This window comes from Homo sapiens, chromosome X (genome assembly GCF_000001405.40).
Source record: "Homo sapiens chromosome X, GRCh38.p14 Primary Assembly".
NCBI lineage: Eukaryota > Metazoa > Chordata > Mammalia > Primates > Hominidae > Homo > Homo sapiens.
The window spans coordinates 17,055,005-17,069,068 of NC_000023.11; the positions used below are offsets into that span (position 1 = coordinate 17,055,005).

Here is a 14,064-nt window from a genome sequence, read left to right on the forward strand (position 1 = left end):
AAAAACTTTTGTTTCCTGACTTTTTAATGATTGCCATTCTAACTGGTGTGAGATGATATCTCATAGTGGTTTTGATTTGCATTTCTCTGATGGCCAGTGATGATGAGCATTTCTTCATGTGTTTTTTGGCTGCATAAATGTCTTCTTTTGAGAAGTGTCTGTTCATGTCCTTCGCCCACTTTTTGATGGGGTTGTTTGTTTTTTTCTTGTAAATTTGTTTGAGTTCATTGTAGATTCTGGATATTAGCCCTTTGTCAGATGAGTAGGTTGCGAAAATTTTCTCCCATGTTGTAGGTTGCCTGTTCACTCTGATGGTAGTTTCTTTTGCTGTGCAGAAGCTCTTTAGTTTAATTAGATCCCATTTGTCAATTTTGGCTTTTGTTGCCATTGCTTTTGGTGTTTTGGACATGAAGTCCTTGCCCACGCCTATGTCCTGAATGGTAATGCCTAGGTTTTCTTCTAGGGTTTTTATGGTTTTAGGTCTAACGTTTAAATCTTTAATCCATCTTGAATTGATTTTTGTATAAGGTGTAAGGAAGGGATCCAGTTTCAGCTTTCTACATATGGCTAGCCAGTTTTCCCAGCACCATTTATTAAATAGGGAATCCTTTCCCCATTGCTTGTTTTTCTCAGGTTTGTCAAACTATGCAGCCATAAAAAATGATGAGTTCATGTCCTTTGTAGGGACATGGATGAAATTGGAAACCATCATTCTCAGTAAACTATCGCAAGAACAAAAAACCAAACACCGCATATTCTCACTCATAGGTGGGAATTGAACAATGAGATCACTTGGACACAGGAAGGGGAATATCACACTCTGGGGACTGTGGTGGGGTCGGGGGAGGGGGGAGGGATAGCATTGGGAGATATACCTAATGCTAGATGACACGTTAGTGGGTGCAGCGCACCAGCATGGCACATGTATACATATGTAACTAACCTGCACAATGTGCACATGTACCCTAAAACTTAGAGTATAATAAAAAAATAAAAAATAAAAAAACAAACAAACAAAAAAAAAAAACAAAAAAACTTTTGTTTCTTAAAATGATGTCCAGATACTTTGGGGAGTCCTTGGTATTTACAGTTATTGTTCTTTAACTGCTATTAGACTTTCACATCTCATAATGTGAGGAATAGGGCTGATCTGGGTAAGTGTGTATTACCTGTTTTTCTCATTCTATACCCTCTGGATGGATTTGAACCAAAGTCACTTACCCTTTCATGACAGTTGTGAAATAGGCAAGTACTGAACCTCCCAGCTGGTATAAAATGAAGAGGAAGATCCTGTAGAGCCAAGTGTTAACTTGGCATTTTTAGGCACACCCGAGTGTCTCCGGGTGGCCCTGGGCAATGGAGTGGAATGGAACTCTTATACCTAATTTAAAAGTCAAAAAATTAGCCGGGCGCAGTGGCTCATGCCTGTAATCCCAGCACTTTGGGAGGCCGAGGCGGGCGGATCATGAGGTCAGGAGATCGAGACCATCCTGGCTAACACGGTGAAACCCCATCTCTACTAAAAAATACAAAGAAAAAAATTAGCCGGGTGTGGTGGCGGGTGCCTGTAGTCCCAGCTACTTTGGAGGCTGAGGCAGGAGAATGGCATGAACCCGGGAGGCGGAGCTTGCAGTGAGCCGAGATCGCGCCACTGCACTCCAGCCTGGGAGAAAGAGTGAGACTCTGTCTAAAAAAAAAAAGTCAAAAAATTACATGCAGTGAAATGTGCAAAGTGTTGTCACCTTAAATGTATGCTTGATGAATTTTTGTATATGTATACACCCATGTAACTACAATCAGATGAAGATATAGAATATTCTAGCATATCAGAAGGTTAGAATAGAACTGTTATATTTCTCCTTAATAAAACAGTCTCGCTCAAATTATTGTTTTGGACCCTTTAGATGGGAAAGAGTCATGGTGAGTATAACATATGTATTAATTCCTTTGGGAGAGTAGAAAAATTAATAGTGTGTCTTGCCCTTTTCAAAGGCAAATGGGCACTGGTCTGATTTCCATTATTCATGGAAGTATAGTGCTCATTGAGAGGCCCCAGAAACAGCTGGTGCTTTCAACAACCTTTCTCACTTTTTAGGGAAGGGCTGTTAAAGAAATGAGAGCTTAGTCATGGGTGATTATTAGCAAGAGAGAGCAGTGTCTAAAGAAACTTTAATTACTTATTAGTAGAGTATGAATTTTGTGATTAGATCTGCAAAAGGCCTTAGATTATCTTGTCTAGCCCCTTCCTCATGATGACACCAGATTCAAAGTGGCAAATGTCTTATCTAAGTTTGTCTCGGGGCCTCTGACTCTCTTAAATAAAAAGTCTGTCATTTTCTGTGTTAAATAGTGAGAGGAGAGGAACTCAACCAAAGGGCAGAGGCCAAGTTTGTGGCTGCTGCTAAGTGACAGGTAAACATGTTGGGGGAAGAGTGACCCATTCTGGGATCTTCTTCAAATGTCCTCATAAAATATGTGAAGGGGAGAGTTCAGAGAGCAAAACCTACTAATTTCTGGACTTGGATTTTGCTAACAATACCTGCTTTCTGCCTATTGCAGGCTGTAACTCTAGCCTGCTGCCCTTCCTTAGATGCTTGGAAGACTCTCATGGGTCCCAGGAATTAGCTTGCAATTGAGGAGCATGGGAAACTCCTCTTTTCTCTTTGGTGTCTTTCTGTCTCCATTTCATTCTCTCCCTCGTCTTGTCTTGTCTTGTCTTTTTCTTTTCTTTTCTTTTCTTTCTGTTTCTTCTGAATCAGGGCAAAGAAGCACTGGCATTCTGGGGGCTATCTTGACGCCTACATGGCTCTCATTGCCAAGGCAGTGCGGGGTCATAGAGGAGCCCCTTTTCTTGGGATTGGAGACACATGGGGCTTTTGTCTCTCTCTAAAGGGAATTAATAGCTGGCAAAGGGCCAAGTTCTGTTCTAGGGTTATATTTAATACCTTCGCCGTGTCCTCTTTCAAGCCCTGGAGAGAGTCCTGGGTAACCTCATCTCCCATACCCACACTGAGTTTTCTGTTTGGGGGTCATGACTAGTACTGTTTTATTGTTTTGATGCCATATGGCCATGGAACCTGTGGGACATGCCATGACTCCTTATTTGATAAGTCACTTTTGTAGGTGTCCAAGTGTTTCACAGACTATTTCAAAAGTCACTGACATAACGGCTGGGTGTGGTGGCTCACACCTGTAATCTCAGCACTTTGGGAGTCCAAGGCAGGTGGATCACTGGAGGTCAGGAGTTTGAGACCAGCCTGGCCAACATGGTGAAACCCCATGCACTAAAAATACAAAAATTAAACAGATGTGGTGGCGCACACCTGTAGTCCTAGCTACTAGGGAGGCCAAGGCAGGAGAATCACTTGAACCTGGGAGGCAGAGGTTGCAGTGAGCCAAGATTGTGCCACTGCACTCCAGCCTGGGTGACAGAGCTAGACTCCTTCTCAAAAAAAAAAAAAAAAAAAGTCACTGACATAATTTTTAGACATCTGAAAGCCCTGAGCTAAAAGTATGTTAACAGGAAAGAAGTAATCTCTTGATTCCTTTCCTACTGCCAATGGCTTCTTTTGACCTGCTTATTCAGTAGAGGGGAATCTATAAAAAAGAGTGCCAATGAGCCCCATGTTTCTTCCTGGACTTTTATGGAGACTGTCAGCATGCATTTATACAGGAACAAGGGAAGAATCCATCATATACACTTCAATTAAACAAAAATTGCACATCATTTCTAGGGCTTGTGGGATTAATCTTAAATAATAATTATATAGTTCTAACAGAAAACATGAAAGAACCCATAAAACTCTATCAAACTCAGTGACGGTATATTTTAAAATGCTTTATCACCTATGTTTATCATTGTATGAAGCTTAAGAAAATGGCCAGAACCACCTAGGTCTCCTCTGTGCTTTTTTTGCTTTTCTTTGCAAAATATGAGTGATCCTATTCATTTTTTTGTTCATTTTAATGGCATCTCATTTAGTGTTTTTCTTTTTTCTTTCTTTCTTTCTTTTTTTTTTTTTTTGAGACGGAGTCTTGCTCTGTTGCCCAGGCTGGAGTGCAGTGGTGCAATCTCGGCTCACTGCAAGCTCCACCTCCTGGGTTCATGCCATTCTCCTGCCTCAGCTTCCAAAGTAGCTGGGACTACAGGCACATGCCACCATGCCCGGCTAATTTTTTGTATTTTTAGTAGAGATGGGGCTTCACCATGTTAGCCAAGATGGTCTTGATCTCCTGACCTCATGATCCACCCGCCTCGGCCTCCGAAAGTGCTGGACAACACGCCCGGCCTAGTGTTTTTTTTTTTTTTTTTAAAGCTTAACTCTTACCTTTTTCCAACTTTTTTCTAATTGATCTATATTCAGTCTTTAAAAAATCTAATCCAGTTTTTGATAAGATTGGTGAAGAGTATAAATTTGGTTGATATCTTCATGCATTCATAACTAGACAAGCTTGTTTTCTAAAATAATAATTTTTTTTTTGAGATGGAGTCTCGCTCTGTCACCCAGACTTGAGTGCAGTGGCATGATCTTGGCTCACTGCAATCTCTGCCTCCCGGGTTCAAGCAATTCTCCTGCCTCAGCCTCTCGAGTAGCTGGAACTACAGGTGCCTGCTACCATGCCTGACAGATTTTTGTATTTTAGTAGAGACGGGGTTTCACCATGTTGACCAGGCTGGTCCTGAATTTCTGGCCTCAAGTGATCCACCCACCTCGGCCTCCCAAAGTGCTGGGATTACAGGCATGAACCACCCACCACACCTGGCCTGTTTTCTAAAATAATGGAACAGGAATTGTATCTGATGCCATTTTACTTGCAATTATGGAAATAGTCCCTTTTCCCTAATAGTAAAACTTCAAGGACAGAGTTGTATTAGTTGGTGGCTTACCCGCTAGCCTTTTGATAGTTTCATCAAAAGTCTCCTTTTGATAGTTTCATCAAGAGTCTCCTTTTGATAGTTTCATCAAGAGTCTCCTTTTGATAGTTTCATCAAAAGTCTCCTTTTGATAGTTTCAGCTGGGTGGGGTGGCTCACGCCTGTAATCCCAGCACTCTGGGAAGCTGAGGCAGGAGGATCAATTGAGGTCAGGATTTTGAGACCAGCCTGGGCAGCATGGTGAAACCCTGTCTCCACCAAAAAATACAAAAATTAGCCAGGTGCGGTGGCGTGCACCTGTGGTCCCCAGCTACTCGGGTGGCTGAGGCAGGAGAATTGCTTGAACCTGGGAGGCAGAGGTTGCAGTGAGCCGAGATTGCGTCACTGCACTCCAGCCTGGGTGACAGAGTGAGATTCCATTTCAAAAATAAAATAAAATAAAAATAAAAAAATAAAAAAAGTCACCTTTTGATAGGTGATTGGGTGGGTTCTGGTAGAAATTTTTGCCATAGAGTTTGTTAAAAAATACCTATGGAGTACTTACTGCGTGAGAGGTACCACATTGTTCACTGTGGTCAGAATGCTGTATGACAGAGCTCCTACTCCCATGAACTTGTGGGCAGTTGATACGTGCCATGAAGGGGAAGTACAGGTGCAGCAAGAGGGTGCATGATCTTAGGGAAGATTTCCTTAAACGTTTGGGCTGAGATGTGAAGGCTGAGCTAAGGACTACATAGGTGAAGAAGAGAGAAGCTTAGGTTCTGGGAAGGGGGAACAGCAGGTATGCTGGGGAGGCTCTGAGAGGGGGCTTGGAGCATAGGAGGAGTGGGAATTTCAGGCCACAGTGGCTGGCGTGCACAGAACCGGGGTAGAGAGGCTGGGTTGAAGCTGAGGAAGAAGGTGGGGAACATATGACGGGCAATAATGTCACCTTATTTTAGGCAGATAAGTGACACAATCAGATTTGCTATGTGAAATGATCATGCAGGTTACTGTCCAGAGAACAGGTTTTGAGGGGCACGGGTAGAAACCAGAAGACTAAGTTGTGGTAGCTGGCCAGTCAGGAGCAGCGGGGTGCTTGCAATGGGGAGGTGACAGTGATATGGAGAGATGTGGACACCTTGGAGAGAGATTTAGCAGGTAATTGACAAAATTATAGTTTTGGAAAGTGTTAGCTTTCTTCACAGGAAGATCCGCTCATGATAAAGCATCAGTCATATAATACCAGTCAGAGCCTTGATTGATAGACTAGAAAGAGAAATCGGTGAAATTCAGACCAGAGTAAGCAAATGAACAAATTAAGGTGCTTGTACTCAACTCCATGTGGTGCTGATACTCAGACCAGTACTTCCTTACTTACTTACTGTATGTATGTATGCATGTATGTATTTATTTAAATTAGATAGACACGTAGGTAGGTAGGTAGGTAGATACAAAGACAGATGAAACAGGGTCTCACTATGTTGCCCAGGCTGGTCTCAAACTCCTGGGCTCGAGCAATCCTCCTGCCTTGGCCTCCCAAAGTGCTGTCATTACAGGTGTGAGCCACCATGCCTGGCCAATGGCCAGTACTTTACTGCAGAAGGATATTGGCATTTCAGTCCCTGATGGGAGTGGGAGGGTGGGGAAGGATTAAAAACAATGCCAATCCACTTTTCACATTTGATTCAAATTTTTTTAAACCTTGCATTACAATTTTATTTCCTAATAGCTTGTTGTGACAAATTTGATTTGTAGCTTCTGTTTATTATCTGCCACAGTCTGCTTTTCCTCTTTGGAATATTGACAAATTTTCTAGCTGTTGAGATATTTCTTTCCTAATTACTTTGTGACAAAGTAGTGAAGCAGAATCCGCTTCTAAGACATAGCCTGGTGTGAAGTAATTAGCTTACCAAGTAGCCTGATCTTTCCTCGTGTGAATTCACTCAACTACCGAAATAACAGCCAGTGTCACTATTGCATATTGAAAGAAACCCTTAATGTGATTCTTTTTTTCTTTGTTGTAAATCAGCAAGAATTTATGCTCTTATTTTTATCATTCCTGCCAACCAAGGAGATAAATATTTCGTAAAATCATGTTGGGTGCACATCATTATAAGATCTTGCCTATTTCTAACAATAGTTAAATGATGTATTTCCTTAGTTAATGTCCCTATACATTAGAAACTACACTAGTAACATAGTTAAGACTTACATATTGTGATAGTGATGGTTATTGTGGAAAATTACTATGCTATAACATGAAGTGTTCAGAGCACATACCCTTCAGCCAGACTGCTGAGAGTTCAAGTCCCTGCTCTTCCATTTATCAGCTGTATGACCTTGAGTAAGTTGCCCTGTTCTCAGTTTCATCACATGTGAAATGGGGATAATAGAAGTACTGGGTTGTCCATATAAAGAACTGAAAGTACTACCTCAGCATGATGAATGCCATATGTGGTCTATCAGAGCTAGCTGATTTTGTTGTTATATTTAACAAGCACAGAAAAGCTGATGGGAAACACTGATTACTATGGCTATAGGAAATATTCTGATATATTCTTTTTGTTTCTTCTTAGCTTTTCCTAAGCCCAAATGGGACTGTCAATTATTTGATTCTTATTCTGAGTCACTGCCGGCAAATCAACAACCTCGTGACTTGAATCGGATGGAGGTAAAAGATCTTCATATGCTAATAAATAAGGATGTGTATGGAGCTAAATCCATTGGCCTATGTTCTTTACAAATTCTGGAAAATGAACTTTTTTTTTGTTTGAAAATGAGCTTTTATAACATTTCCTTTTCATACTTGGTAATTATTAATACTTTGATGCTCAGCCTTTCAGATCTAGACACCAGATGTATCTATAATTTTTTTCCCTTTTCTCCCTAAAACTGGATGTGGTAAAGTAAGTAACATAATCTCTAGACCTTCTAGATGTGAAATGTAGATATAGCCAAACTAAGACAGAAAATTCTAGCCAAGTTATTTACTTTAACCAAGCTTTAATTCCCTAGTAAACAATTTTGATTCTATTTTTATCAGTTGGGCATTAATAAGCTATACTGAATCAGAACTGTTTTGAGAAGAGGTTTGAGAACTTTATATGAGGGCCCCAAATCACATTCGGAACTCCCTCAGGGTTTTTAGCTTTTGAACCAAATGAGGACTGATTTGGATGATCCCCAGAAGGAACTTGGAGAATTCCCCCAGTGTTGGGCCATGGATGGAAGGGCTTAGCCAAGTGCTTAGGAAGCCTTAGCTATGGATCAATAAATAGGAGTTGTTATAGTTATTGTTGTCATCACCATTGTCATTATCATCATCATCACCATTATGATTACTGTGATGACAATTTAGGATACCTGCTTTTCCCTTCCTTAAAAGATCTGGAAATGTTTAATAAATGGAGCTTTATTCACAGACTCCATAATAGTCAGAGACTATTAGAGTCCTCTGACCCTAGTTGAAACCACTGCAAGATGATAGAAGTCAAAGTCAGGGAACAGGGACATTTCTTTAATTTCTTGTGACTGTGCATGATGATTTATTCTCTCACATGAGGCCCTCATGCCTGTAGCATGTGTTATGGATGGCACCGTCTGCTCCCCTGTGAGCCAGTCAAGCCTGCCTTTCCAGTGCCCCTCTGACTAACATCTCTCTGCCATTTTGCTTCTCTTTCTTTGAGTTGTGTCCTCCATGGTACTTTCCTCAGATTTCTACTCATGGGAAAAAGACATAAAGAAAAGTCACTTCAGGAGGAATGACAGATGTGCATTTGAAGAATTTTGGTTAAAATTTTTTTTTTCTGCAGAATGCTTATGACAAAGAGAGAGATAAAATAGTTTGCCACTTTTCATGGCCCTCAGTTTACTTTGGGGCTTCTAGCAGTGTTTAAAGAGCTTTGTTTATCAAGCCAGGATGGATACATCTATGGCTCTCTGACTATGTGTGTGTGTGTGTGTGATGGGCCCCCTGCTTGCATAAAATGATGAAGTTATTAGTTGGTCTTCTTTAAAACGGCCATAAAATCTGTTACACATGCACACGTCTGTTTTACTGTTACACACACACACACACACACACACACACAGTCTCTCTCGCTTGCTCTTTCTCTCTCTCTAATGTCCTGGATGGCGTTACATATATTCACCTTTGTGGATTTTATATGCAGCTAGTTTTATATACTTTTGCATACTTTAAGTGGCCTCCTTGGGGAGGGGAGATTAAAAACTACCTAGTCTTTTTTTTTTTTTTGCCCTATCCAAAGAAGAAAGCAAAACAACAACAAAAAATCCCCTCTTTTCCAACCAAATTGTTATTTTTGAGGATGCTATGGTTTTAGACAATGAATGCAGTAAACAGAATTCAAGGACAAAGTAATAGGGTTTATTGATGGTTTGTTCATTTAAGAAGTACGGGTCAGATTGCAATAATGATTCAATATTTCATGTTCTTCTAAACTATTACTGATTGTTCTTTCTACTAGTCTTTTAATCTATCATGAATGCATGGAGTTTAATTAGATTTTGGAACCAGCCCTGTGATCGATGACTCCAGTATAGGTGGTTGTGTTCTGAACAAAGCTGCAGCTGATTTAGGTCTCACGTCATGAGAAATTGGCTTAGTGATACATCTTTTTCTAAAGACAGCAGAGCTGTTAGCCATGTACTTATTTCCATTAAGAATTACAGATGATAATTTCAAGTATATTTCTTTTTATGAGTGTCTCTTACATTACTGGATTTCTTTCTTTTTCTAAACAGCTTTATTGATAGAGACTTTACATACCATACCCATTTAAAGTATACAATTCAGTAATTTTTATTATATTAACAGTTGTTCCACCATCTCTACAGTTTAATTTTAGAAGAACATCATCAGCCCAAAGAGAAACCCAATACTCATGAGCAGTCACTTCCTATTCCACTGTCTCTGCCAGCCTCTGATAATCACTAGTCTATTTTCTGTCTCTAGATTTGCCTATTCTGGACATTTCATATAAATGGAAGCATATAGTATGTAGTGTTTTGTGACCGTATTCTTTCACTTAGTATAATGTTTTCAAGGTTCACTCAGATCATAACATGTATCAGTGCTTCATTCCTTTTTAATGCTGAATAATATTGCATTGTATGGATATGCTACATTTTGTTTGTCCATTCATCAGTTGATGGACATTTGCATTGCTTCCACTTTTGGCTATTGTAAATAATGCTGCTATGAACATAGATGTACAAGTTTTTGTGTGGGTGTGTGTTTTCGGTTCTCTCGAGTGTATACCTAGGAGTGGAGTTGTTGGATTGTATCATAACTTAACTTTCTGAGGAACCACCAAACTGCTTTCCAAAGCAACTATACTATTTTACATTCTTCCACTAGCAGTGTATGAGGGTTCCAATTTTCCCACATCCTTGTTAACACTTATTGTCTGCCTTTTTGATTTTAGACACCCTAGTGGAATGAAGTGGTATCTCATTGTGGTTTTGATTTGAGTTTCCTAATGATTAATGACGTTGAGCATCTTTTTGTGTGCTTATTAGCCATTTGTATATCTTCTTTCGCCAAGTGTCTCGTCCTTTGTCCATTTTAAAATTGCATTACTTGTCTATTGAATTGTAAGTGTTCTTGTGCTTTTGGCATCATATCTAAGAAACCATTGCCTAATATTAAATCACGAAGATGTACTTCCATGTTTTCTTCTAAGAGTTTTGTTTGTTTGTTTTTTTGTTTTGTTTTGTTTTTTGAGACGGAATCTCGCTCTGTCACCAGGCCAGAGTGCAGTGGCGTGATCTCAGCTCATTGCAACCTCTGCCTCCCGGGTTCAAGCAATTCTCCTGCCTCAGCCTCCTGAGTAGCTGGGACTACAGGTGCGTGCCACCAAGCCCAGATAATTTTTCTATTTTTAGTGGAGACGGGGTTTCACCATGTTGGCCAGGATGGTCTTGATCTCTTGACATTGTGATCCACCCACCTCGGCCTCCCATAGTGCTGGGATTACAGGCGTGAACCACTGAGCCTGGCCTCTTCTGAGAGTTTTATAGTTTTAGACCTTTACATTTAGGTGTGTGATTTTGAGTTAATTTTTGTGTATGTTCTGAGGAAGAGGTCCAACTTTATTTTTTTGTATGTGGATTTCTAGTCGTCCCAGCACCATTTATTGAAAAGATGTTTTTTTCCCCATTGAATTGTCTTGCACCCTTGTTGGAAATCAACTGACCATAGATGTAAGGGTTTATTTCTGGGTTTTCAGTTCTATTCTATTGATCTATATGTTTATGATTATGCCAGTACCACAGTGTCTTGATAATTTTAGATTTGTAGTAAGTTTTGAAATCAAGAAGTGTGAATCCTTTAACTTTTTTCTTCTTTTTCAAGAATATTTTGCTATTCTGACTTCCTTGCATTTCCATATGAAATTTAGGACAAGCTTGCCAAATTCTGACAAAGATTGCATTGAATTTGTAGATCAGTTTGGAGAGTATGGCCACCTTACCAATATTAAGTCTTCTAACTCATGAACATGAGATGTCTTTCCATTTATTTAGATATTTAATTTCTTTCAACAATTTTTTGAGATTTCTTTTTATCTACATTGCCTACTTCTAAATTATGTTATTCTCCAAAGGGGCCTGATTTATAATGCAGGTGGGAAAAGACAATGAAAGAAATGCACTGTTATGATACATTGTCTGTTCTATTGGAGATAGTAGACTTTGAATAGAAAATTATATCTGGATACTTCGTTTTAATGAGTAAATCCCAGCACTATGTGAGGCCGAGGTGGGCAGATCACGAGGTCAGGAGATTGAGACCATCCTGGCTAACACGGTGAAACCCTGTCTTTGTTAAAAATACAAAAAATTAGCCGGGCGTGGTGGCATATGCCTGTAGTCCCAGCTACTCAGGAGGCTGAGGCAGGAGAATCACTTGAACCTGGGAGGTGGAGGTTGCAGTGAGCCAAGATTGTGCCACTGCACTCCAGCCTGGGCAACAGAGCAGGACTCCATCTCAAAAAAAAGAATTACCTGAGTGAAGACTGTTAAATCTTAGACCAGTTTTCTACTGAGTAATACTTCAGTCTCTTTCTTCAGAACAGTTTAAAAACAAAAGTATTGCTTATCTCTCTGGGGTTGTTTAGGTTCTGAGAGGTAAACCAATTAACTTTTTGGAACACCAGATGGCTCCAGGCATTTACTCTCCTTCCTTCAAGATAAATGTTACAATTTATCTTTATTTAATTTGTGACTATGTTTTAAATATAAACAATATCAAAAGACATATGTTGACAAGTCTTCCTCCCATCTACCAACTCACCTTTCAATTCTTACATATCTTTCCAGAGTTTGTGTATATAAATAAAGCAAATGTGAATATATATTATTCTTGAACTTAATCTTATAGGCATTAGAGTGCATATTCTTTTCCAGCTTTGAGGTATAATTGACAAAAAATATATATTTATGATGTTTTCATCTATGTATATATTGTGAAATGATTACTGCAATCAAGCTAGTTAACATACCTGTCACCTCTCACATAGTTACCTTTTTTTGGTGTGGTGAGAACATTTAACATCAACTCCCTTAGCAGTTTTCAAGTATACCATACATTGTTATTAACTATAGTTAGAATGTGTGTTAAATTGAGAATTTACAAGAAGTAAATTTACAGTAAGTAGATTTTAAACGGTTTAAAACTAATTCATACTTGATAGATTTGGGTATTCATATTAGTGTGAGGACTTCCCCCCTGTTTGCATTAGGAGAAAATTTTAATCTGCTCATCAGTAAAATTCTTTTATCCCACAACAAGAAGGCTGGTTTAATCAGGTTTAGACACCATCTGCATGACAGATCTTGGCAAACACCCACATTGTGGGGCCACTTGTCAGAACTTCTTTGTGTTTGTGAAAAAATACATAAAGAACAGGTTTGTTCTTGGCCAAATGGACCAGAGTTGCTATGCAATTCTGTGGCTGAATCCCAGTCTGAATTCAGATTTAATACATGTGCCTTAATCTGAATCATTTTTTTCCTCTGTGTATGTAAAATTTCAATACAAATTAACATATACCTCACTAGGAACCTAAAAAAAATAAGGTAGTATTAAATGCAGGGTTTACTGCAGATGGAAATGGTGGCAAGAAATAATAGCTTTTAAGACATTTTCGGCTGGGCGCGGTGGCTCACGCCTATAATCTTAGCACTTTGGGAGGCTGAGGCGGGTGGATCACGAGGTCAGGAGATGGAGACCATCCTGGCTAACACAGTGAAAGCCCTTCTCTACTAAAAAATACAAAAAATTAGCCAGGCGTGGTGGCGGGTGCCTGTAGTCCCAGCTACTCGGGAGGCTGAGGCAGGAGAATGGTGTGAACCCGGGAGGTGGAGCTTGCAGTGAGCCGAGATCGCGCCACTGCACTCCAGCCTGGGCGACAGTGCGAGACTCTGTCTCAAAAAAAAAAAATTTTTTTTCATCATATGTGCGCATCACTTAATTTCTGTTCCAACCAGTTTAATTCATTTACTTTTCTTTTTCAAAGAAGACATCTGTTAAAGACATGGCTGACCTTCCTGTCCCTAACCAGGATGTAACTAGTGATGACAAACAAGGTAGGAGAAGAATGAGTTTTCTTCTTTAACCAGCGTTCTACCTGTTACCTTATCTACTCCTCTTGGAATGGTGGCTTCTAGAGCATATGAGGGTGGTTCTCAGCATGTAAACACATTTGGATAGACTAAGTAGTTCAAATCATTGTCATAAAACAATAGTTCACAAAGTGGTAGCAAGAGCTTGAGTGTCCAGAGTCTTCCAACTCATTGGCCCCTTAGTCATTGCTGACCCTCAGCCTACTCTTAACACCTTACACTGGAATCTGATCGTAGCAATTAGGAAATGACAGGAAGCTGAACGAATTGAGAACATGTTGTGTTTGCGGATGTGATCCCAGACATCAGTGTAAATGCACATTTGCATACAGCTCTAATCCATGAGGAAGTTCTCTTCTGGACACAGCTTCTGTCCTTAGTGTTTATCTGTTTCTTGGCTTTGTGAGTGTGGGAGTGTGACATGGAGCCCAGCTACAATTTTCCTATCTTACTGGGCAGCTGAGAAGCAGTGCAGCACAGCATTCCGTGTTAGAGCTACTCCCAGGGAAGAGTTGGCTTGGGAATATCTAGAAGTGTGGGAGGGACCCTCTCCCCCACCTC

At 40.0% G+C, this 14,064-nt stretch overlaps 1 protein-coding gene across 17 annotated transcripts in view; it reads left to right on the forward strand.

Annotated features, from left to right (window-relative positions):
* The window catches only part of REPS2 (RALBP1 associated Eps domain containing 2), a 249,998-nt gene that overhangs the window by 108,347 nt on the left and 127,587 nt on the right, over window positions 1-14,064 (forward strand). For 13 of the 17 annotated variants that reach the window (XM_017029956.3, XM_011545603.3, XM_011545606.3 and 10 more), the window contains 2 exons: window positions 7,434-7,528; window positions 13,398-13,467. In XM_017029956.3, the coding sequence (XP_016885445.1) occupies window positions 7,434-7,528; window positions 13,398-13,467 (165 nt within the window). The remainder of the gene's footprint in view (window positions 1-7,433; window positions 7,529-13,397; window positions 13,468-14,064) is intronic. The other 4 variants (XM_011545605.3, XM_017029955.2, XM_047442626.1 and 1 more) reach the window with 1 other exon arrangement.